The following is a 27,022-nucleotide window of genomic DNA, read 5'->3' as shown; positions in this document are numbered from 1 at the left end:
TAGCTGTGTAGTGATGAGGATTTATGAAAGCAGTTAAAGCATTTTACTTTTTGACTCCTACTAAACCAGATATAGTCAGCCCCAGCCTATTCAAAAAGGATAAAAGGACGTACCTTAAGCATATCATAATTCCTAATATATTATCATTTATGAGACTACTGTGGATATATGGGTTGATTCTATGCCAGATCTTCTAAGACAGTGACTTCTTTCCTTTGCTAAGCATAAGAATAAGGATAGTACTACTTAGCAAGTTGTGGTAGATGCTTTCACAGGAATATTAATGAGACAGTATAGTGTTATATTTATGACAAGATCTGAAGTCAAATTGCCTGGGTTTGCTTATTTAACAGTGTCATCTTAAGTGAGTTACTTAACACTATCATTCAATTTCCTTCCTGTAAAAATAATAGTACTTTAGAGAAATCACTTAGAAGAATATCTGGCCCCTAAAATAGTGAGCAGTTAATTAATGTTTGTTATTGTCTTTTCTCCCTAAGAATAATTATTAGGCTGTAGATTGATTTAAACTTGAGGGAAATTTCAAATTACTTACCTTTTAAAAATGTTAATATTAATACATGTGTGTGTATTATATATGGCTATGTCACATATACAGCATCCATAAAGCTTGAATTCATCTACTTACTAGAGACCACTAAAAACAGCCTCTGGGTAAATAGGATATCTTCATAGACTCAAGAACAGTGATCTTGATCATCTGGCAAGAATGTTCTTGTAGTCATGAATATGGCACTTCCTTCGCTGTAGGGCTGGTGATGGTTCTGATGTTATTAATAGTAGTAGAATCATGGCAGTGGTCATAGTGTGAGTGTTGGGGCTAACACTCATAGGTAACATTTATTGAATGCTCACATGGTGCCAGGTCTTCTAGGCACCTCCCATGTATTCACTTATTTTACCTTCACAGCCTCCAATGAAGTAAGTGCTAGTATTATTATCTCAGTTATTTTTTTTTTAAATAAAGAAATGGGCGAGCATTTCATTTTTGCAGATGAGAAAAATCAAGACACTGGAGGGGTTATGTAAGATCATACAGCTAGTAATTGGTGGAACCAGAATTTGAACATAGTCTAATTCCAAAACACATATGCTTAAATACAGATGTGATTCTGCCAAGATGTTTCTGGCTTAGGGAAATGACATTTCATTTAGCAATTGAGCTTGTACTTTGCTCTAACTAGGTTTTTTGGCCAGTATCAAGCAAACCATTTTAAGCCAGTGGAAGTATCTGTCTGTTTATAGTCTCCGCTGAATTGTGTTAGAATTTTATTTTATCCCTGGCTTGGGCTCTTTATTGTTATACCCCACTACTTTGGGAAGTGGGCCTAAAGAGAGATGTGTATGTGCTTGGGACAATATGATATTAATATACACACAACAAGCAAAGCCACTGCCCACCCTTGCTGATGCTTCAGACTCCAGACCTGGATATTGCCTCACCTGCTTTCTGGCCCTACTTCAGCAATCTCTGTTGAGTAATGGCCTACATTACTTAAGTTCCCTACTTTAAGCCAATCCTGATTTCTCTTTGTGCCCAACCTCTGAAAAAGGTTGTATAAGTGGCCATAAGAGAAATATGACAGAAAAGAGAAAAACAAAAGAACAATAATTCAGTCAATAACTCTATAAATATCAAACTAATGGTGACTTTTCTATTTTACCTTTTTTATATTTTAACTCAGAAATTACTTCACTCCTGTAAGCTTGGTAGGAGAGTTTCATCTAGTGACTTTCAGTTCTCACTTGACCTGTCATGTGCATATGGATACAACTGCTGGCCACAGGGACGAGTGTGGAGCATTCTTCCGCCTTCACTTCCTAGGCTCTTTAGCCCCCACTGAGCTGTGAACAGTGGCTGAGGACAAAAGCTGTATACACTGTACAAACAGAGCACCAAAGCAGCAGTACACTGAGTCATTCTTCGCTCTGTGTGAGAACTGAGGGGGACTCTATTCATTTCCTTTGTGCTGGTGTCTGTCAACAGTGCTGTTTGAGGCAAGGCCTATTGTACTGGCCAGTGTTTCTTATTGACCTAAGTCTGTGCCTGCTATGTTCCCAGGGTCGAAGTTGCGAATGAGAGAATGTTTGGAAAGGGGGTAATCATAGGCTAAATGCATTTTGCTGCATTGTCATCTAACCTATTAAATCTAAACTGTGGTCTATGTTAATGCAAACAGGTAATTATATAGTCACAGCTGCAGCTATTGACATCTGGTTACCGCCCCCATGGAAAAAAATACGTGGTTTTTTGTTGTTGTTGTTTTTGTCCTGTGTCTGGGTTCATATATGGTGGACTTTAATGATTTTTAACTGAAAATACATAGTAGGCTAAGAAGACTAAAAGATCAACAAGATGGATACTTTAAAATAGCCTCTGCCACAGATGTTTGCATATGTTTTTCTTTGAGAATACGGTGCTTTTCCTTGACTCCAGCATGAATAATCTTGATTCAGTTTTAGATTTTAAGTAGTGTAAGGTAAAGATAATTTTGTATTTCTATCCTGTACAATCACATCATCATACTAAGTCATTTTGAAAGGGCTACCCCTCATAACGTAATTTTCCTTGCTTGCCTGCGGGTTTTATCCATTGTGTTTCATTGCCATGCTCTTCCAATGCAGGACAGTGTTTCCAAGAGGTCTGTGTTCCCCAGGCATGGCAAGTACATCAGAGTGAATTGAGGCTTATGGCTATCAATTATGTTAATAAGGCCTATCCTTCCTAGTTTCTTTCAGTGATCTAAGGAGCAAACATTTGAATAAATTAGTCCCAGTACATCACATTCTAAATGTCCTGTGGAGAAGAATCACTTTTATACTAGTAAAAGAAAACATGTTTAGAATTGCGTTCCAACTAACCGTGAAAATCCCTTTACCATTTGAGCACCCTACTTTCATATTTTCATTCACTGCCGCAATTCATTATTTCACAATATTTATTGAAAACTTAGTAGATTCTGTGCTAGGTATTAGGGTACAATTTTAAAATAAAAATCTATTGGATTACTTTTTCTAATTCCTGCTGTCACTAGTGGTATTATGAAGTATATCAGGAGTGAAACTGTTGTAGGACATAGACGAAAAGTTTTAAGACCTTGTAACCTAAAGATTTTTCTAATTTTTTGATACTTTCTGTCTCTTGAATGTTTGGAGGCGTTATCTTTCTAAGTGGATGGTTACAAATCCCACTGGGACCTTGATGAGAAAGCACTCAGGATGCCCACTGGCCTGGATTATTCTGCCCTTTGAACCAGAGTCCTGTAAGCAGGGCTTACTTAGCTCATACCCCCTTGCCTTGTGCTTCTCAGAGTAAGCTTGGGTGGTTGCACTGGGCTCCTGTAGCTTCTGGTGGTTATTCAAAGCATGGCCATTCAGGATCACCTCTTGTATCCTCGGTACTGGAAATACAACGACGAATAATATAAAACTACTACCCTCTGGGAACTCAGGTTACCCTTCTCCTTTTTTTTTTAACCATCCTCACTACAAGCGCAGTTTTGAAAAGATGGCACAGTGATTGAATTTAATACAGAAAATAAGATAAAAAATTAAGTATTAAATATGTTCTACCTTAGAAAATGTGGGCCAATAATGAAGAAATATTCGTTCCACTTAAAAAATAATATTTAACATTAATGTTCCTAAGTAAACTTGACATCTTCTACATGGAACAGTATGTGGAATAAAAATAATATTTACTCAAATGGCATGCTGGTCAGTATTTTAATCCTTAGAAATGAAAATTATTTTCAAACTTAAAGTGAAATCGTCTTGCATAAATAATACCTTCTTTCATTTTTCAGTGCTGGTGTTTCACATACAGAATTATTTTGACAGATACTAAGTGTAATCACTTCAAAAGGCTTTTCATATTTGTAAGAAATAGCAAACCATATGCCATCTTGCAGAAGCCCTGATTGGGAAAGAACGTGGCTCTTGGCCAGCAATTAATTAAGCCACTCTTTTGTTTTGGCCATATTGTGGTGGTGCATAGGTGTGAAATACTCTGTCTTCACTAAATAGAAATATTCCTGTGTATCCATGATAATTTTAAGAAAACCTTTCAATTTTGGTGTTATTTTCCTATAAAGTAATAGGAGTTGTAAGTGCAAGTAATTGAAGCATGAGAAGAATGGAGAAAAGTTATTGGGATAAAATGAATTTGGCATTTGGGTAGCTGAAAAATGATTCCTATCATTTTGGTCCATAGAAAATTGCATCAATATTAACAGGAAGTTGGAAGCTGAACATCTGTAGCAGGTCTCTTGTTAAAGAATAGAGAAAGAGAAAAGATTACTTAATTATGTATTGTGTATACTGGGATATCCTATTGTCAAAAAGGGAAAATAATTAGCCTGACTAATCAATTTCCTGCATTTCTCCTGAATTCCAATTTAGATATTCTTGAATTATCTTCAAGTAGAGATCTCTGATATCAGATTATATGGGCTCAATTAGGTTACTCAGTGTTCCTCTCATCGTTCAGCTTCACTTGCCTCTCATTAGAGTAGAATTAACTTTTTATTCAGGATATAGTAGTTAAACAGAGTTATGGGCCTTGGGTCTAAAGATTGAAATCAGGGAAGGCCGGCCTCAACAGAGAGCTTCCTTTCACCCATTTTGACCATTGTCACTGCTTCCCCTCATTCATCCTCATTGCTGTTGATCTTAGCAAGAAACCCAGAGACACTATTGCCTTGCTTACAAATAAGGTTTTATGTTTGATCTTTTCATTTTGTAAAAGATAAAGCACCTAAATCTTAAAAGGGTGCTTTCTTTTTTTAATGAACAGCAGCGGCTCTGGGAATTTCAAAAGCTCTATAATGTTTTGTTCCTGTGGTAAAAAGGATTCACAACAGACATTGTGATCTAAATACTTGTTTTCTTTTTCTTTTAATGGAAAATTATTTCCCTAAGATTAAGCATAATTAAAATGTAGAATTCTTCTGCACTTTTCTTTAAATCCTAACTAATAAAACTAAGCCACACATATATTTTGGAAGGTTTCCTGAATGCTAGCCTTCACAGTTGAGCTTCTCTTTCTTTACAGTAAGTACATACACTGGTATTAAGTACTAGCCTGTGGGGTACCTGCATGCACCCACCCACATTCACACTGCTATACATTGAGACAGTCTGGTACACATATCTTTGGGAAAAGTGAAAGCATATCGAAGTGCTTTGCAAATAATTGTAGATGGGTGCAGAGAGGGTTAACCATCCAGCATTCTCAGTGACTTAATTAGGCTCTGGCACAGAGCCAGGATTAGTAGAAAATGGGTCTGCCTGGGACAACTGTAGAAACCAGTGGGTTTTAGCTTCTTGGCAAGGTCTACAGCCTGCAGCAGCATTCTATGCTTGTGCCTACCTGTTGTGGGAAAGTGAGGGGCTGTGCAGACAAGGGACAAAGCAGCCAGGCATTTTCCCATCTAGCTTTCCTATTTGTCTCTTTAAAAAGGAAGCAAGAGTACCTGTCATGGCAGGATTTCTGTAGTGATTCACTCCACAGTGCTTTGCTCTGTTCAAGGAAAGGCCAGCCTAAACCCCAAGGAAAGCCCTGTGGTCTCTCTGAGACTGCACCATGTGGAAAGCAGTCACCCCTGTAAAACAGGATGTTGTCAGGATTTGAGGTTTGGGAATAATCCGTGGGAGATTTGGCAGTGTTGAGACGTTTAAATCAATGTTTAGCCTCTGTGCTTTTTCAAGAAGAGAAAGTACATAGTTTATTGTTGCTTTCTTGATAAAATTAATATTGGCTTATAAGATTATGAGCCTCTGAAATAAAGCATAGTTATAAGTGTTTTTTAAACATATATACTGGTTTTATGAAGTATACAGCTCTTAAAAGCCTAGGATTATAATCTAATATTTTCTACTTGTCTTATTAGCTAAAATAAATAGATTTGCTATTTGGATGGTTGATAACTCAGTTTTTTAGGACTAAAATTTCTGTGGTAACCTTTCTTTCATACCCAAAACCCATATTGTAAATGTGCTTACATTTCTATTTGCTGCAAAGTTTTTCTATGTAAAATTATATTTCAGATAAGGGAAACCATTTTGTATTAGCAATCTCCTTGTCTCCCTTTCATTTAAAGTTGTACCGTTCAATCTTTCAGAATGAAATCTAACTTTTAAAAACTATGTGTATACAACAGATATATAACATAGAATCTTGTAGTTCTTAGAAAAAGCTTCATTACAGTCTTTTCAGTTAGAAAAGCCAATTTTCCTATAACTATTAAAAATAGGTAGAATACCTCCCTGGGAATAACAATTTGAATTTTTTTTTCATATTTTATAGCTTTTTTATAATAAAGATCTCTAGCTCTCAGCTTGTGAGACCTGTTCTTTGAACATTACTTAATACAGCACTATTTCTGTGTCATAAGAATATTAATAACAGTATTTTGGAGCTGATTTACTGCTATTATTAAAGTCGGTTAGCAATAGAATGTCATTAGTTCAGTAATCTTTACTGCAGTTAAAATAACGTAATTCCTGTACAGTCTAGTGCTTTACAAGTTCACACTGTGAAAGAGGGAAGGATTTCACTTTAAAATCTGTTATGTAGCTCTAGTTGAATATATATAGTGTATGTTGTGGTTGTCTATACCACTAATTTATAGATAATCTTGCATTGTTTCTTTAACTCATATAGTCTCCAAAACTAGATTGTAACCCCATGTCTATCTTTAAGGCAGTGTTGGTACAAGACTCACAGTAAATTCTTACTAAACTCAGTTATATAATTTGCTTAATTTAAGTGAATTGAGTAAATCCAAACTAATTTTTATATACTTGGGGGTTAAATGTGAAACATTTCTCACAAGACATAAGAAAAACTCACCCTGACACTTCATACCAGCAGAATCCAGTGTTTGTTGTGTTGAGCACACATCACATTTGTTAGTATTTTAGCTGTGTTAACAGAACAGAATATCAGGGCAGTGGTCATTCACTAAATCGCTAAATCACTTTGTGTTGATATATGCCTATCAGCAAAGGCTCAGGACAGCCCTTTTTACATTAAAGAAAAACTCAACAAAATCAATTAGTGACTCTCTTTCTTAATAAATGCCTTTTAAAAAATTGTTAGTGTACCAAATAAAATTAGCAATAAAAATTATTTTTAAAATAGCCTTGAGTTCTTCTGAATCTCAACATTTTCTCCTTCACTCAGGAGTCCCATTTCGTGGTATGCTGTTTGGAGGAGATTTTCACAAGTGATGATAACCTGTTTTTCTTCCAACTCTGACTTTGGAAAACATCGTAAAAGATAAAGAAGTTGTAATACAACATGGATGAACCCTGAAAACATTATGCCAAATGAAAGAAGCCATTCACAAAAGATCATATATTGTATGATTCCATTTATATGAAATGTTCAGAATAGACAAATCCACAGAGACAGAAAGTAGATTAGTCATCCCCAGAGTCTAGAATAGGGGAGGGGGAGAGATTGCTAATGAGTACAGGGTTTCTTTTTTGGGGTGATGAAAATGTTCTAAAATTAGGTTATGGTAAAAGCTGTACAGCTCTGAGAATATATTCAAAGTCACTGAATTATACACTTTGGGTAGATTTTATGATATGTGAATTATATCTCAATAAAGCTGTTAAAGTTTTAGTATACCACTTTAGAATAGTAAATATGTTACATGTGGACTAAATCATTAGCCTAGCTTCATTTTAATAGAATGTAATATCCACACTGTAATATGTGAATCTATACAGCTCTAAAAGATGACTGTTTAAGACATTTGTGTCTTCTTCAACCACATGATCAGCAGAGTTAAAAATGCACTTGTTCAGCAAAGATTTGTGGATTTTTCTAGTGTATACTGGGTACTGTCTCATATGTTGTTTAATTTGTTTGTTTGTTGTTGCTATTGTTTTTGAGATGGGCTTACTTTGTCTCCCAGGCTGTAATGCAGTGTGGCACAATCATGGCTCACTATATCCTTGACCTTCTTGGCTCAAGTGATCCCCTTGCCCTCAGCCTTCAGAGTTTCTGGGACTACAGGCACTTACCACCATGCCTCACTAAGTTTTTTTTTTTTTTTTTTTTTGTAGAGACAAGGTCTCACTGTGTTGCTCAAGCTGGTCTGGAACTTATGGCCTCCAGTGAACCACCCCCTTCTTGGTCTCCCAAAGTGCTGGGATGACAGGCATTAGCCACCACACATGGCTCTGGTCTTATATATTAAACATACAGAGATGACCAGATTATAATTCCTGCCCTCCAGAGTCTTGCTATTAGTAGAGTAGATAGACAAAAACAAAAGTATGCCAAAAAATGTGGCAGCATGCTACATGATGTCATAAAGGTCTGACCTTTTTTTTAAAATAGCAGACCAGACTTTGGGCCATGGGGAAAGAAAGTGCTGTGTTCTACCCCAAGATATTATGGAAGATTCTTAAGAATGGGACTTTTAGTCTAAGAAAAAACAGAATGTGGCAGGGAGACGAGGGCCTTCTAGGCAAAGAGAATGAATGAATAGCTTATACGAAGGCACAGGGGCAAGGGGAGAACAAACAAAACAAGCATAGACTGTTCAAGAACTTCAAGTGACTTAGGTGACTCCTGAGCTCAGAATTCATGCGGCAGGAGCAGCAGCGGGAGATGACTCTAGAAAGCTGGACTAGGAAGGTACCAGGAAAGGCCTTGTAGGCGTTACTAAATTCGTTAATGGACAGTGCTGAGAGAACTGTTCATGTGTTAATTAATCTCATTAATATATAGTCACCCAGTGTAGGTGCAGAAAAGGAATTAAGAAATATTCATGCAGCCAAAAAAAGAATGAGATTGTCTTTTGTGGTAACATGAATGGAACTGGAGGCCATTATTCTTAGCAAACTAACACAGGAACAGAAAACCAAATACTGCATGTTCTCACCTATAAGTGGAAGCTATAAATGATAAGAATTTATTAACACAAAGAAGGAAACAACAGACACTGGGGTCTACTTGAGGGTGGAGGGTGGGAGGAGGGAGAGGAGCAGAAAAATAACCATTGGGTCCTGGGCTTAATACCTGGGTGATGAAATAATACGTACAACAAACCTTGGTGACATATGTTTACCTATGTAACAAACCTTCATGTGTACCCCTGAACCTAAAATAATAGTTAAAAAAAGTATTTAAATTATATTTTGTAGTCTTTGGTATCTTTAAATTACTAAATATTTATTTGTGCTTTCTTGAGTAAAAGGCAAAATAGTAACAGTATAGCTTGTTTTATAATTATAATAAAGTATAAGAAATAAAATCTATTCAAAGTTAGCATTCTACCAGATGAAACATTTTATAATGCCACGTATAATTTTGATATAAAATATTTTAAATACATACTCAAAAAGGAGTATTTATTTCATATAGTATTAACTTGTCTTAGGAACAACTCTGCAATTGTAAGATAAGATGAGCAGCAACAAAATGTAATACACCTGGATTTAAGAGGCTAGCTATTCATAACAGCAAAAGCCAACAAAAAGTTGTTTCAAAGGCAATCAGGCATCAAGAAAATTTAAAAAAATAAAAAAAAATTCAGTCCAGCCTTTCATTTTTTAGATGAGGAAACTAAGGTCCAGAGAACTTTGACCCAAAGCCTAGAACTCTTGGGTCCCATTCCAACAGTTTTGGTCCTATGTTGCTTGCCTTTGGAAAATCGGAAGCTAAAGGGTTTAGTAGCACTCAATAAATGTTAGCTATTCTTAGTTTTCGGAAACATTTTTAGTACTGTCCAGTGATAACTAAGAAGTACTAAAAAATTGCCATTCTTACTCATAGAATGTCAACTTTACACATAGAACAAATGTTTCATTCAACCAAAACCTTTGTTTTGAAATTTGATTAGAATTGTAGATTTATAAACTATTTTTGTTTTAAGCAACTAAATTTGGAGTAGTTTCTTGCATAGTGCTACATAAGTGGCACAGATTTTATGAAGTACCTGGAAGTGGAATACTGCCATAAAAATAACCTAAAACATGTGACACTGGCTTCCATCCAGGTAGTGGATGGAAGCTGGAAGAATCTTGAGACTGTTAGCGGAGGCCTAAAGGGTATTGAGGAAACTGTCAGCACAGGCTTTAATGTTATTGGAAGCTGAGGGTAAGGATATGCTTGTTATATAGTGGAAGAAAGTTTGGCAACATCCTCACCTATAATAATATGGAAAATAGAAAATGTACCTCATGAACCAGAGGATCTAGCTAAGGAGATATCCACGCAGAAGTCAAAGGTACTCTTAATACCTGGCTTCTACCTGCCTAAATAAAATGAGAAGAGAGACAGCCTAAAATTCGAGAAGTTAAATATAAATCAGTCTGGACTTGCTAGGTTCAGCAATAAGTTTATTTTCTCGTTCTCAACCTGGAATCATCACCCCGCATGGCAGATGGTTCTAAAACTGGGCAATGGCTTGTGAGCAAAGGTGAAATCCAAGGGTGCAGTCAGGAAAACTGGGTCTATAGAAAGGCAAGACCTCAGAATAACTTAAAGCAGTACCTTATCGACTCTTTTAAACAGACAAAAAGAACTTAAGGGTGTGCCTCACAGATATTCTTTCATTAAATAGGCATTAGATGGAGCTTCCAATATTCTTTTTTTTTTCTAAAGAGAGTCTTGCTCTGTTGCCAAGGCTGGAGTGCAGTGGTACAATCTCAGCTTACTGTAACCTCTGCCTCCTGGGTTCAAGCAATTCTCCTGCCTCAGCCTCCCAGGTAACTGGGACTACGGTGCACACCTCTGCACCCAGCCAAGCTTCCAGTAGTCTTAAAGGCATTATTCCACTGCATATTTCAAGATAGAGAAGAGGGAGAAGGGTTTATTTCAACAAGATTTGTAGGTGTGGCTTTGGTTTAATGAAGTGAACTCTGCTGTGATTTACAAAAAGCCCACAAAGTTTTCAAGAGAATTGCAGTGGAGGAAACACTGCCAGCTGGACTAAGGGATACAGAGATACTCTTAAAATGAAGAGGTATTTGAACCCTGGATTTCTATGGAGAGGAGCAGGCTGAGAAAACTAATACTTGCAAATGCAGGCTATATTTGATGGAAAAGGAAGGTTAGTTCAGAGGATAGAACCAAGAACCCAGAAGGCAGAGAAAAGCCCCAGGGTATCTTTCTCAGACAGTAAGACTAAGCCCTAATCAAGCAACTGGTAACATTGGCTAGATTTCAGAATCGTTGCAGAATACAGTCTGTTATGTGCCTCCTGTTTCCCCCTTTTTGGAACAGAGTTTCCATGAGTGTGTATGTGTGCATATATAGATATATCTATATATGTAAAATTGCTGGTCATAGGATATGCGTATGTTTAGAAGATAATGCCAAACCATTTTCCAAAGAGGCTATATTTTTTATGGTTTAATTTTTATGTTTTAATTTTTAATTTTTTTTTAGAGGTGAGGTCTCACTATTGCCTAGGTTGGAGTCTAACTCCTGGGCTCAAGGGATACTCCTGCCTCAGCCTCCCAAATAGCTGAGAATACAGGAGCATGTAGTGTGCCTGGCTTCAGGGATATAGTAGTTATATTCCTACCCAGGAATGAATGCAAGTTCCAATTACTTCACACAGTTGTTACTGTCAGTGTTTAAAAAAATATAGCCATTCTGGTAGGGCATTATTTTATTGCAGTTTTAATTTGTATTTTCTTGAGGTTGAGAACTTTTCATGTTTATTGTCTATTTTAAAATCCCTTTTTAGTGTATATGCATACACACAGAAAAATTTAATTGCCCATTTTTCTGTAGGATTTTCTTTAAAGAAAAAGATTCACTTGTAGCATTTCTTTATATATCTGGGTAGCAACCCTTTCTTGGTTACTTACATTTTTTCCCACTCTATGGCTTGCCTTTTCACTCTTTTGTGGAAGCTTGATGAACAAAAGTAGTAATTCAATATATCCATCTTTTCCTTTATATAATACTTTTTGTGTTCAGTTTAAGAAGGCTTTACGTATCCCAAAGTGTAGAATATGGTCTTAATATATATTTTAGAAGTTTTATTGTTTAACCATTTATATTCAACTCTAAAATCCACCTGGAATTGATTTTAGTATATGGGATGAGGTAGAAGTCAAATTTCATTTTTTTCATATGATTATCCAGTTAGCCTAGAACAATTTATGAAAAAGACTGTCCTTCTTGTACTGTTTTGCAGTGCTACCTTTTTCCAAAAATAAAGGCCTATAAATGGCTGTTTCTGGTATCTCTATTCTGTACCATGTCTTTGAACCAATATCGTATTATCTTAATACATCCAGCTCCAAATTCTGGAGAGTTTCTGGTAGAACCCTCTGCCTTTGACAGCCATGTACTAATGAAGTTAAAAACTCTCTGTCCTCTGCAGCAACAGTGAGAACTGTACACGCCCTTGTGTCATGGAATACGCAACTGGAGTGGCATTGTATTTTTTAAAAAAGAGAGAAAACGGCTGCAGCCTGCTGAGCTCAAGCAGCTGCTGCTTGATGTCTTCCACTGTGAGAGCACCTTTCTGACAGGTTCTCAGGCTCGACTCTGAGGTCAGAGCAGGATTAGGACAGGAACCCACTTTGCACTGACAGCTGCTCTGTTAGTCAGTGCACTGACTTCAGCTCCATGGCTTCTCAAGAATGTTTAATTAATTTTCTCACTACTGAAAGTTATCTCTAAAAATGTTATAATCTTGTGCTTTAACTGGTTTTGTTTTTTGCAAGAGATTATGATTTTCCCAAAATCAGATGAAATTTGTGTTCTTTACCTGCTCTTGGATGCTTTACATGACACAAAGTTATGAAATTATAAGTGTTACTATCCAGTCTTCTCATTATTATTATCTGAGAATAGATAGTTTCCTTTGCAGAACTAGGTAGCTCTCAAGAGAGGCCCAGTCAGCATATTAAACAGCTGGCTCCCTGTAGCAGAGAAGCTACCCATGGGAAATAAGGAACTCTGTTGATGGCGTGGGACTCTTTCCTGTAATAAGGACCCTGATGTAGGGGGGTAGGTAGTAAACAGGGATGCATCTGCTAGTATGCTTTCTATGATTGCTATTTTGCCATGTGGAGAGGAGGTTCCAGCCCATTTGAGGGGCATAGGTTTTGATAACAGAATGCTCTTATAAGAACATCGCTACCTCTTCATGATAACTATTTACATCATTCTCTTGCCAAATAGAGTGAGGCAACATTTCTACTCTTGGTGTATTTTTATGTTTGTTCTTACTCTTCACTTACATTATTTTCAGCTAATGATGATCTACTTAATTTTGGAAGGTTAGGGTAGGAAGAAAGAGAAAGTAGGCCCATTAAAAACTTCATTTTCTTTCTAATATTCCTTGTTAAATCTGTCATGATAGTACTTCTCAATCGATATGAACAAAATTGTTTCTCTCTACCTGTATCAAGGAAACAACTGAAAATATCCTAACAAATTTTGGAAGGGAGGGTTTTTAAATGATTTGATTTAAAATATGGGCTATGTAAAACATGAAATCTACTTGGAGGAAGGGGGATTCAAGACATCTTAAAGGAATGGGCATTCTTTTCCGAAGTTGATAATAGGCTCTATGAGATATTACTCGTATTAAAAGTGCGCCGTCATGTGTAATGAAGATGCTTTCAGTTGCAATTGACAGAAAACTCTACCTTAACTGTTTTAAACAATAAGAAACTTACCAACTCACCTAACAAAGAACCCAGAGGTAAGACAGTTGTGATTGTGTTGTGATAAAAACCGTGGATCCTCCTTTTTGTAATATTTTATTCTAGTCTGGCCTTTTTCCCTGTATAGGTTTTATACTCAGGCTTGATCCCATCATGGCTGCGAGATGGCAGTAACAATGCTAGGCATAATATCCAAAATTAATTTACAGGTACAGGAAAGGGGGCATCTCTTTCGTGTGTCTCTTTTAAGAGTAAGAAAATTCTTGTAGAAGTTTCTCTGCATTCCTTCATATACTGTTGGCCAGAATTACATCACATGCTGAGTTGTGAAGCAGTCATTAATGAGGGTGAGAGCACATGATTGATTCAGACTTATCAAGATCTGCCGGGGCTGGCTGCATAATTCCCAGGGCCCAGTGCAAAATGAAAACTCAGGGCCCAAGGTAGGGGTGGGGAAGTTAATCTTCCTTTGTCATGGGCCCACCATCTCAACCCACAGTGGAGGACAACCCAAGGGATTGCTGCCTGTGTGCCAGGATGCACAGAGGCACCTAGATGATGGATGGGCAAGAGGCTACCACTGGTTTGCCCTTATAACACACCTTGGCACCATCAGTTTGGGGATAGAATGGCCATCTTCTCACTTTGCAGTGAGATTCTACAGAGTAATGCCCATCCCCTAACCTGGTGGCTGAGAACCTGTCCTTGAGGGATCGGGACCGTGTGTGAGCCTAGACTAACAAGCCCTGGGTGCATGCGCCATTGTCCCGTCCTACTTCACTTACAAACTCAGATGCAAGGATAAAATTATTAAGAGTTTCAAGTCAGTGACCACAGATTAATAAACCCAAGCACTGGGCCCTTCTGTGCATGAGGCCCTGAGTGACTGCACTGGTCACATATTTATTCTTTCCCTGGGATTAGGACTGCAGCCAGCCTCTCCTGAAAAATATCAGGGTGGCTACATGAATAAAATGGGGCATGCCAGGAAGAAGGAAATGGAGGTGGGGGGGAGTGGTAGATATTAGGTTGGGAATCAGCAACATCTGCTATAGATACCATGACCAGAGAAAATACAGTGCTTTGGAATATGAGTCCTAAAGTGAAAGCTACAGGGCATATGCTCTGACTTCACACTGACTGACTTCACATCTGACTCCAGGATGAATAGCAGCAGAAATTTATTCATTTGATATTGGTTAAGACTTGTCCTCAACAACATCTTAAAGGTCAGCTGGTGTGATGTAAAGTAAAGCTCTGAAACTCAAAGTTTTACTTCAGATGGCAAATAACATTTATTCATTAAATTAGCTATATTGATAAAGATGCTTTTAGAATGTTGTGGAATTATTTTTATTTCTAGTCATCTATCCGAAGGCATTTTGTAATTGTGCTTGTGTGTGTGTGTATATGTGTGTGTTTGTGTTACAGTTTAAAATCTTACTGTATTACCTACATCATTGAAAGAATCATCATGCAGCCTTTCTCAACAAAGGCTTATCTAGAGAATTATACCCTAATATCCTAAAGTATATTTAATGAATTAATAAATATTTAATGAATTAACTTACTCATTCCTGGGAGAATTGAGAATAGAGTCATTCAAATCATTTTCTATGGGGTTAAATTCTTTGGCTGAACCCGAGTTGAGAAAGGCTGCTAGAGAATGCATTGAAGACCAAAGACTTGGTTACTGTTTATGCCAAACTTCTTAAAGATTACCACCACCATAAAAACAAAAGAAAGAAAAAATTAGTTAAGCATTTGTTTTATTGATACACAAGAGAATACTTTTGACTTTTAATGAATATTTTGTTTTACTAGTTAAATAATCTGGAAATTCCCTGCCATCTAAATCTAGAAACTAGGGGGGAAGCTGGGGTTTTTTGCTTGGGAGCTTTTTGTTTTTATTTTTATATTTTCATGTGTTTTTCTTTACTTTTTCTGAATATGACCTGAAATATAGCTTAGTGATTTTTCTAACTAACAATGCAATACAAATATTATTCATGATATATTTGTTCTAGGGAAGAAAAGTTTATTTAAAGTAACGAAAACCTTTTTAGTTGTCCTGTTGGAGTTGAGGAAAGGGATATAGAAGACGAAATACAGAAACACTACTCAAATTTTATAATCATATCCAATATTTTATTTTTAGTTGGTGATTTCATTAATTGAGCTTCCCTTTGTCCTGTTTCAGAGACTTGGTGTTCATTGACAAATCCTTTTTCATCAACAAATTGACATCTAAAAAAAGTTATTTTTTTCTGTCATATGAGGAAAACAACAATTATTATGAACTCATGTAGATATACCGGGAACTGTAATGTACATATTAATTATACTACATAATATCTGATTATAGGAGATATCTGGAAAGGTAGAATGCAAGTTCTTGTAGTTTGATTGAATGCTGGAAGCAAAAACAGGGCCTTAAAATTTTGCTTAATGGGAATCATCCTGTCACCCACCATTATATTTTATTAAATACTAGGCTTCGCCCAAAAGCAGATTAGTTTTGTTTTTTTTTGTTGTTGTTTTTTTTTTTTTTTGAGACGGAGTCTCACTCTGTCGCCCAGGCTGTAGTGCAGTGGCGCAATCTCGGCTCACTGCAACCTCTGCCTCCTGGGTTCAAGCGATTCTCCTGCTTTAGCCTCCCAAGTACCTGGGATTACAGGCGCCTACCACAGCGCCTGGCTAATTTTTTGTATTTTTCTTACAGAGGGGGTTTCACCATCTTGCCAGGCTGGTCTTGAGCTCCTGACCTTGTGATCCATCCGCCTTGGCCTCCCAAAGTGTTGGGATTACAGGTGTGAGCCACGGCACCGAGCCGCAGATTAGTTTTAAAAGCAGAAGACCTGTGAAAGAGACTGAGCTACACTGAATCATTAATGTAATCATTAATGTAATTTTTTACTCTATGAATAATTGTCAAACAGGAGTAAACACACACCATCCTACTCGATTTCCCACTCTTTATTGACTCATAATGATAGCAGAAAGTAAATATCAGGAATCAGTTTCAAAGGTGTCATAAGAAAAGAGAGCTGTAGACCAATACACCTTATGAACATGGATGCAGAACTCTTTAACAAAATGGTAACAATCAAGAAATAGCTTTTGAAAAATGTATAATACATCATGACCAAAGTGCAGTTTATCCTGGCAATGTAAGTTCGGTTTAACTTGTGAAAAAAAATCAGTGTAATTCATCATATTAATATAAAAAAAAGAAAATCCATATGATCAGGAAAGCAGAAAAAGCATTGAACAAAATTCAGTGTTCATTCATGAGAAACAATTCAGCAAACTAGGAATAGAAGAGAACTTCCTTAAGCTGATTGAGGTCATTTTAAAAAAAAACTTAAAATTAACATCAAACTCAGCTGTGAAAGCCTTGATATTTTCTAAAATCAGAAATAAGACATAGATGTCCATTCTTTTTAACTTTTTACTCTTCATTATACTGGATGTCATAGCTAGAGTTGTAAGGCAAGAAAAAGTAATAAAAGATACACAGATTAGAAAGGAAGAAGTGGAACAGTCTTTATTTGCAGATGGCTGCAAAAACTTATTAGAACTAAAAGTATATTGAACAGAGTTTAGAGATACACAGCCAGTATAAAAAACAAATGTATATCTACATACAAAGCATAAACTATTAAAAACTGAAAAATTTGGCTGGGCACAGTGGCTCACACTTGTAATCCCAGCACTTTGGGAGGCCAAGGTGGGTGGATTGCTTCAGGTCAAGTTTGAGACCAGCCTGGCCAACACAGCGAAACCCCGTCTCTACTAAAAATACAAAAAATTAGCCAGGCGTTGGGGTGCACATCTGTAGCACTAGCTGCTCAGGAGGCCGAGGCAGGAGATTGGCCTGAACCCAGGAGGTAGAGGTTGCAGTGAGCCGAGATTGCGCCACTGCACTCCAGCCTGGGTGACAGAGTGAGACTCCATCTCAAAAAAAAAAAAAGAAGAAAAAAAGAAAAATTTAACACTATATATAATAGCATAAAAATACTTAATATAGGCCAGGCGCGGTGGCTCATACCTGTAATCCCAGCACTTTGGGAGGCCGAGGCAGGCGGATCACGAGGTCAGGAGATCAAGACCATCCCGGCTAACACGGTGAAACCCCGTCTCTACTAAAAATACAAAAAAAAATTAGCCGGGCGTAGTGGTAGGCACCTGTAGTCCCAGCTACTCGGGAGGCTGAGGCAGGAGAATGGTGTGAACCCAGAAGGTGGAGCTTGCAGTAACCTGAGATCGCGCCACTGCACTCCAGCCTGGGCGACAGAGCGAGACTCCGTCTCAAAAAAAAAAAAAAAAAAAAAAACTTAATATATTTAACAAAAGATATGTAAGACCTCTATGCTGAAAACTACAAAATACAACAACAGGAAATTAAACAAGAGCTAAATAAGTGGAGAGATGATTAGAAGGAATCAATATTGTTAAGATGTCAGCTTTCTCTATATTAGTCTATAGATTTAATGTAATCTCAGTCAAAATCATAGTAGGATTTTAAAAAAGAAATTGGTAAGTTGATTTTAAATTTCATATGAAAAGGTAAAAGACCTAAAATATCCAAAACAATATTGTTTTTTACCTGGTTTCAATACATATTGTAAAATTGTAACAATACAGTATGGTATTGGCATATGGAAAGATGCCACTATAGATCAGGGCTTTACAGGGCTTTTTGGTTGGTTTCCATGAAGCTCTCGCACATATTTTATGTTTATTTTAAGGTGTTTTATCTTTTCATTGTTGTTGTTACTGCCAGTGTTGGCTGTATTTTACTGCATCTTCATACTAATTTTTGCTTGCGTATATAAAGACTGTTGGATTTTTGTGAGTTAGTTTTGTATCCAGTCACCTTACTACATTTATGGTTTGTTATTACTTTGACTATTTTGGATTTTCCAAGGAAACAATCACCATCTGTAAACACTGAAAAACATACCTCTTTCCAATTTGTATTTGCTTCTTATTTCTTATGTTTTCTAAATGTAGTGGCTACAGTGTTACTTTTTGTTATTATAGTATAAGACTACGAAGTTACTGATTTTCTTTTTTGTCTATTAAGCTGATTTTTAATACTTAGGCAACATTCTGAAATCTTAAATTGCAATGATTCTTTATAAAATACAAACGCTTGTTATTTTAGTTAGAAAAATAATCATTTTGCAAACCTAGAATTAATGACTTGCTGAGAAGCGTTTTTTTCCATACTGAAAAGGTTAGGAAAATTTAGAAATTACTTTAGAAAATTTACTTTAGAAAATTTAGAAATCACACAGGAGCGAAAAGAACAAAATCCTACCACTCAGAGATAATCATTGTAAATATAATGGTTTATTTGTTGCATTCTAGAGATTTTTTTTCCCCAAGTAAGCTATCTTGAACAGAGAATATGTGTTTTAACATGTAGTGGGTGATGTTTTTAATAACTAGGTCTAATTTTGGCAAATTGGTTCTTTTTCTATAAGATTTTAAACCTCAGAGTGAACATTAAATTGGATTCCAATTAAATAAATCAGACTATTTTGGCTAGGAGGGTTGTTTGTACTTTCATTAGTACATACAAGAAAAAAGCATATGTTACAGCATCTATTTCTTCTTTACTTCAAGTATATACACATTAATAGTTATTTAAGAGTACTGATTATCAGATGGATGATTTTTAGAAGGATGAGATGAGCCCAGAAGAGAGATAACAGATTATTGCCATAGTCAAGATGGGACATTTTGATTATTTAGCTTTGGGCAGTGACATTGGGGATGTAAAGGAAGGAATGGGTTCATGATATATTTAGAAAATAGTAAGCAATGGAATTGGTATTTTATATGGAGCATTGAGATCAAGGAGGGTTTTTAGGTTTACATCTTAAGGACCTTGCATAAGCAAAAATTGGTCTTGAAATTATGTTAGTTTTTTTTGGATTGGTCCCTAACACAAATTAGTGGTTTTTAGGATTTCTCAGTAATCTCTTTCTTTACAGTATGTACCTTATAGGGTTGTTGTGAGGACTAAATGGGTTAGTATCTAGAATAACAACTTAAAATAGTATTTGGCACATATTAAATGTTCAGTAAATATTAGTTGTTTTTATCCTAATTTGCACAGGATTACTTGAATGGGCTTGCTTACCCTTTTATTTTCTCATAACTTTTTAGATTATACATTTTCTCATACAGTTTTGAAAATTTTGAAGTAATTCATTATGTTAACAGTTAATGAGGTTTTACATTTATGAAAATAAATATTACTTAATTTCTGTAACATGTCTGCCACGTATTGTTTTTATTGTGGTAAAATACATATAAAACTTACCATTTCTGCCATTTTAAATTCAGTGACATTTAGTATTTTCAAAATGTTTTGCAACCATCACCACTGTCCAGTTTTAGAACATTTTCATTACCCCAAAAGGAAACTCTGTACCCATTATACAGCTTATGTTACGTTTGGTTTGCTATGGGGGTCTAATCTCTTTCTTCTGGATGTAAAGCCAGTTTTCCCAATGTGATTTGTTGAATATATCTTCTTTTTTTCCACAAACATAAAATGCTGTCTCTATCATCTGGTGCCTATGTGTGCTGAGGTTTGTTGCAGGGCTGTTTATTCTTGTCAGTTCTATTGCCCAGGGATTTTAGGAAGTAAATTTATATTTATAAATACATTGCCTTATGGTGCATCCCTTTGGTTGTTCTCTCTCTATAGTTATTATATATGCATATTTTCCCTAATAAATTATAACAGATATCCAAAGGCTTTTCATGTGACTAGGTTGCCAGGACTTTCCAAATTTATGTACTGGCTTTATTGAAACTTAGGTTTTATGTATTGCATGTAAAGTCATATGTTCCTATGTAGATCATTCTAACTTGATATTTTAAAATGCCTCTTGATAATAATAGTCATATGTTGAATTTGAAGTTTTGTGTTTAGAAAAATTATAGCTTTAGGCTGGTTGTGGTGGCTCATGCCTGTAATCCCAGCACTTTGGGAGGCGGAGGTGGACAGATTGCTTGAGTTCAGGAATTCGAGACTAGCCTGGACAACATGGCGAGATCCCATCTCTACTAAAAATACAAAAAAATAGCTGGGCATTGTGGTGCATACCTGTGGTCCCAGCTACTCAGGAAGCTGAGATGGGAAGATTGCTTCAGCTGGGGGTGGAGGTTGCAGTGAGATGAGATTGTGCCACTGCACTCCAGCCTATGTGACAGAGTGAGACCTTGTCTCAAAAAAAAAAAAGAAAAAAGAAAAAGAAAAATTATGGCTTTAAATAGAATTATTCTTCAGTGTTCAATGCATATCTTACTACTACCACATTGACCTAAGCCAGTGTGGCTATGCCCTACTCTTAGGTTCTTTTTGGTAGGTAATGGTAGCCTCCAAAGAAATTTGAAAAAGATAAGGGCTAGCTATTTCTTACAACCTCATTATTAGGGTCTCATGAAAGCAAATCTCAGACCAAATTTTGCTGCACATATAAACGTAGCATATAGAAATGTATTAACTAAATATTAATAAGCAGGCACAGGTAGTTCTCGTAACCTGAGGAAAGCCCATCCTTTAGTCCTAAGAGAGGCTCTGACCAACACCTTGCAGGAAAGGGGTCATGTAAGGGAGAATTCTGCTTCCTTCATAGCCTGCAATAGGCAAACAGTCTTCCACATATCACAGTGGGATATTGGAATATTCAGCTTAAAGGAAGGCATCATCCATAAGGAAAAAACATCCATGCTCCACTGCATTCTGAAAGGATGAGTCAGATCTTTAAAATACTTTTTAACCAGATCATATTTCTTAAATGCTTTTTATTTCACAAATGGAACCCCATTTTTATATTCATTATTGTAGTTGTAGCCCACTGTTTTCACCAATGAAATTTTTTCTGATATTCAATATGATGATTAGCAAAGGGTCAGTTATCTGTTGAAATACAAATAGTAGTGGCACTTACGGTGGCCAAATCTGGAATGTAGATTTTTACTATGGCTAAAATGAACTATTCCCTATATTGTGTCTTTGTTTTTTTTGCTCACATCACACTATCACACTGGTATATTTTAAGTATTTCAGAGTAAATTGCAGGCATCTTGACCATTAAGTATAGTCACTTTTTTTGGTTAATGTAAAAACATTTCCTAAAAGAGAAATATTAACATCAATTCTGCTTATAATCTCTATTTAGACTTTGAATTCATATTGAATGTATGCAGAGAGGGGAGGGGCATTTTATTGAAACAGAAACACTCTTGCTTGCAATTTTTAGTTTCATCAAATTACTGTCCTCTTCAAATTCAGTTGTATGCTGGTATGAGTCTCAGATTATTCTGAAGTAAAAACACATCAAAACATTATAACACTGTTTAATATGAAAACATTATAACAGTGCTCATGTTAGAAAATCAATTGCTGTTTGTGACTTGAATTATGGAGCACAAATCTTCAAGATTCTTTATTGCTTAATTTACTGAAACTAGAAATCAGCATTGTTTACATAGGAGTAAGGTTTTGTTTCTGTGTGTAGAATGCTGAGGAATCTAAAACTAAAAGTATCAAAAACAATGCAATATTTTGTGATGAAAACAATTTGGAAATATAATGTATTACTGTTAGAAATTAGTTGTATTCCTTCTTCGGCTCTTGTAGCTATTGTCACATAGCATACTCTGAAGTATGACAGGCAAGCAGCTGCCTTCATAGTCATTGCCAGTACTAAAGATTTTTCTAGGCTTTTAGCACTCTTCTTTCATCTGTAAGGACAGGCAAGGCAGCTGTCTTTATATATTGGTGTAGGATTGGCATGGTTTGCTAATGCAGCTGCTGGACTGACTTCACAGCTGGGGGAAGAGCTCTTGGTATTAACAACAAAACTTAACAGAAGTATGAAAAGGCAATGTTGGGGGGTGGTCTTTTAATCTTAGATCCTGACCACTTGGAGTGAAATACAATGATTGATTCCTCCTAAACATGTAGTTAATTAATGGAAGGATATTGAAGTAGTTTTGACTGAATTTGCTTCAACCTTTTTTTAAATTTATTTTTTATTTTTTAGAATTTCCCCTTCTTGGGGCCACATATTCAAAATTTCTTTTATCTGTAGACAACATGTATTTTTTTCTTATCTTAGCTGTAGCTGTAATAGCCTGTTAGAGAATTTTAAAATATTTAATTTTTATTTAGTATTTAAAAAGCAATCTCAAGACCAGTTTAGTTAACTTTAAATGATAAAAGTGCACAAATAGTAGTCTACCATTTCCCAGAGATCAGCTGTGATCAAGTCAATGAAAACACTGGTATTCATAAGAACTGTTGGGTAAATTCACACTGACCCATAACAACTCTGACTCCAGACTTCTAGAATTGGACTTCTCAGCTTTATTTATAGAAATGTCATGAAATAAGCTAGTTTTATGGAATCACATGGATACAAATATTGCCTGAAGTTGGGTCATTTAGTCAGAAATTTGGGGATAAAATTCTGAGATTTTGAGACTCATCTTCAAAATCCCAAAGATGTCATCATGCCTTCATTTTGAACATAGTTCTTGAAACAGCCATCTTGAGGTAGATATAAAGCACTGTTTTATGCTAATGGCAATTTTTGAATCTCTTGAAATTGTGACTTTATTTTCACCCCAAAGTACTGTGCTGCTTCCAAGTGTATCACTCCCTTGAATGCAGCCTGGATCAGCAATGGAGAGTCAGTGCAGTCCTGGTTGCCATCTATTATTCCACTTTCCTCTTGGACTAAAATATTGCAGTGAACCTGCTTGAGCAAGTCAGAAGTGTTCTTTTTTTACCCTGCAGTTTTAAGTTTATTGTGTTCAGTTGTCTTGTCCCCTCAGTAAGAGACTTTGCATGCCACTAGGGGATGTAAGTTGAGTCTCAGATCTCCAAGTACCTTATCTTATTTAGCTTCCCTAACCTCATCAACAAATTCCCTTACCATCTGACTACATTAAGTTAAGTTAAATGCACATACTATGCTTTACCTTTCACAGCAACTGGTCACAGTAATCAGTAGTATGAGCATGAACATAAAAAACCATTTTTTCATCTTAATCCTTTTCTCCCTAATTTACAATATTTGTCACAAATTCTTATGATGGATACTGCAGTGGAAAATATACATACCTACCTTCTCTTTAGATCTAAATAAATTATTGAAACAGTTTTCTCTTTCATTACAACTGATTTGTCTTTGAGAGTGAATTAAACTTTTCAGCATTTAAAACCGAACTTCTCAAATTCATTTCCAGCTCATTAGTTCATGCTAGCTAATTTGACTAAAAAATAATTGAACATAAAATCTTGAAAGAACTCTATTTCATTATAAGCAGCATGTTGATTGAGAAGGACTAGGGACAGGAAATTAGACTATGTGACTTCTCAGAGACCTCTGAGAATATAATTTTTATACTATACTTTGTTTTGTTCTGCAGATATCTTTCTTATCAATAATTATTTAAGTAGGGGAAATGAGCTGAAACTCTGTCTGGCTTTAAGATTGTACAACACAAAATGTTATATACAGAGAGTATCGAGAATAATAGTTACATCTTTTTGCCATTTGGAGCACTTTCTTCAGTTGGTGATCTGGAAGAGTAGCAGGAGACTGAGCAATGAATGGATCAAGATGTTGTAATACCACATTTGGAATCAAGGAAGGTCTAGAAGATTTGAGGATTTTCATATATCCTTTCAAATGATTATATGTCTCACCTTTTCTTAAAGACAGATCTTTCCTAGAGTTGAGACTGGAGTCTCACTAATCTGATTTAAAATTTTAATTTTTATTTATGTATTTATTTTTAATTTTGTATAGAGACATGGTCTTGCTGTGTTGCCCAGGCTGGTTTCAAACTCCTGGCCTCAAGTGATCCTTCTGCCTGGGGCTCCCAAGTGCTTTTATATTTAAGCATAGGCTTATATCACTAGTTTGTCTATTGGTGAGAAAAAGGAATTTTAATTATTTTTAAATGATGGCTTCCTTTTAGGTATTTTAATACCTACGTCCAAAAAATAATGAAATAAAAATCAATGTTGCGTGCTTCATTGCTTTTTCATGTGTGAGAAAACTCTTTTAACAGTGCTTTCTACCCCAGGGGTACTGTAGACTGCTTGTTCTGTCAATACTTTTCTCCATTTCTTTTGTCTAGTACAATACACCTCCTTGTCCCTTTTTTCTGGAGTGGTGGTAGAATTTCACCCAGCATTTAAAATGTAGATGATGCATTGTTTGGAAAAGTTGGCTTTGAAAAAAGTAGTTTAAATCTAAGTGAGTTATCACCTAGGTTGTGTGTATACCTAGACAGCAACCGGATACTGTGGGAAAGCTACAAGCCACCTTTGCAGATGGTGAAAAAAGAAAGATTCTGCTGTATAGTTTCTTTTGCTGTGCAATAAAGGCAGAACTTCTTAATCATTTGTTCTTTCCAGATTTGGAATTTATACTCCAGCCTGTAAGACTAATGTCAGAAACAAATTTGGTAAGAGAAACTTTTAAAAATCATTTCCTACCAGCCCTCACCATACTTCATTTCCTGGAACAGTAAAGGAGTTCACTTCACTCGCAAATGCATTATGAAAAATGTTTAATGATTTTAAACCAAAGTACCAGATGATATGTACAATAATGCCTCATTTATCTAGGATAAGAATCCTATAATAACAGCTCTCCAGAACAGGGCAGAGAACCTGAAAATAATATGGAGTTCTGAAAGCAGTGGCCATGAAACCTGTTTTAAAACCTAATATCTTTTTTACCAGAGATTTTTGCTCAATATGCAATTCATTAATCTTACCCCTAATATAAGTAATCAGAATATCTGGGGATGAGGCCCAGAAATCAGCTTTCAACATATCCCCCAGGTACTTCAAATGTGAAAAATGAAGAAACATTGCTTCTAGCCCTCATAAAGAGCTTCATCAGCCCTTATTGATATATATTTCTTTTTTTTTTTTTTATTTGAGACGGAGTCTTGCTCTGTCGCTTGTCCAGGCTGGAGTGCAGTGGCGTGATCTCCGCTCACTGCAAGCTCCGCCTCCCGGGTTCACGCCATTCTCCTGCCTCAGCCTCCCGAGTAGCTGGGACTACAGGCGCCCGCCACCATGCCCGGCTAATTTTTTGTATTTTTAGTAGAGACGGGGTTTCACCATGTTAGCTAGGATGGTCTCGATCTCCTGACCTCGTGATCCGCCTGCCTCGGCCTCCCAAAGTGCTGGGATTACAGGTGTGAGCCACCGTGCCCGGCCAACATATATTTCTTAATAAGATTATTTGGCTTCTCAGCTAAGAGGAGATTAGAAGTGGTTTTCTTCTAAAAACCATGTCGGAAATTGAGGCAGGTACTAGGGAGGCAAGTACATTGTAGAAAGAGACCAGAAAACTAAAAATTACGCTCTTTAAAAGAAATTTCTGTATTGGAATATTTAATAGTAGATTTTTCTTAATGGATGATTGAGACCAGGCCGATTTTTTTTTAATCACAATATGGCTTGTGCAGTAACTTTTAAAATGACCTTAACAAGGCAAGGAAGTATGTATATTATAGGCAACACTAACTAGGTGTATTTTCTGCTTTAAAACTACTATGCCAGAAAAGGATTAAATAATGGGCTGATTGATGACTTAGAAAATGTTTGATTGCATTACTGCATCATGATGAGACTTAAGGAATCCGTGTGCTCCTTGGCAAGCAATGACTTTGTCAAAGGAGTGTTGGTCCTGCTTTCAAATGAGTAAGAATGTGATGTGACCACTAGAGATGTTTTTTCAATGTGAGCAAAATCATTCTGAAGGGAAGGATGAAAATCATTAGTGAAAGTTGGGTGAGGTAACTAAACCCAGTCTTAAGGAGTTTGGAGAGAACCTCGGCCCTGATCTTTCAGTAGGTATCTCTGAAACTGATTGCTAGTGCATATTGATAGAAACTAGAAGCAAAGCTGTCACCTTCCTCTCACTTCCATAGCCAGCTCAGCACATCCAAGGAATCCCCCATCTGTAGATTTTATGTTAAATGTTTGATTTTACTTAATAAATATTTGTAAATGTGTGTAAAAATTTTGTGTTTCTTTTTCATTTATTTGTTTGATCAAATTGGGGCTCCCTCAACAGAGAACTCATTTATAAAACTGAACCTATAGTCCAACTTCTCTAGAAAGCAATTTGGTCTGTATATTTGACAGTCTAAGGTAGCTTTTTGACAGACTTGCAACAGAATTTTCCGTTATGTACAGATGCTCTTCTGTGGAACATTTGGTTTGGCTCTAACCTTGTCTAAACAGATGCACTTTGCCAGTGTCTTTGAGGGGAGGGAAAAT

The 27,022-nt window shown here is 36.2% G+C and overlaps 2 protein-coding genes across 2 annotated transcripts in view, besides 1 other annotated feature; both read left to right on the top strand.

The window, feature by feature from the left end:
• The window catches only part of TPD52-MRPS28 (TPD52-MRPS28 readthrough), a 252,848-nt gene that overhangs the window by 205,922 nt on the left and 19,904 nt on the right, over positions 1–27,022 (top strand). The window lies entirely within an intron of this gene.
• The window catches only part of MRPS28 (mitochondrial ribosomal protein S28), a 111,543-nt gene that overhangs the window by 64,617 nt on the left and 19,904 nt on the right, over positions 1–27,022 (top strand). The window lies entirely within an intron of this gene.
• Positions 1,132–3,517: an enhancer, noted in NCBI's record as "VISTA enhancer hs1305". NCBI's record gives its function as "enhancer in: neural tube[8/8] | hindbrain (rhombencephalon)[8/8] | midbrain (mesencephalon)[8/8] | cranial nerve[5/8]" and the evidence as "EXISTENCE:transgenic organism evidence [ECO:0001131][PMID:17130149]".

The sequence above is a fragment of the Homo sapiens genome, chromosome 8, assembly GCF_000001405.40.
Source record: "Homo sapiens chromosome 8, GRCh38.p14 Primary Assembly".
NCBI classification, from domain to species: Eukaryota; Metazoa; Chordata; class Mammalia; order Primates; family Hominidae; genus Homo; species Homo sapiens.
Note: the sequence above shows the minus strand (reverse complement) of the source record. Positions and strands in the feature narration are given on the sequence as shown.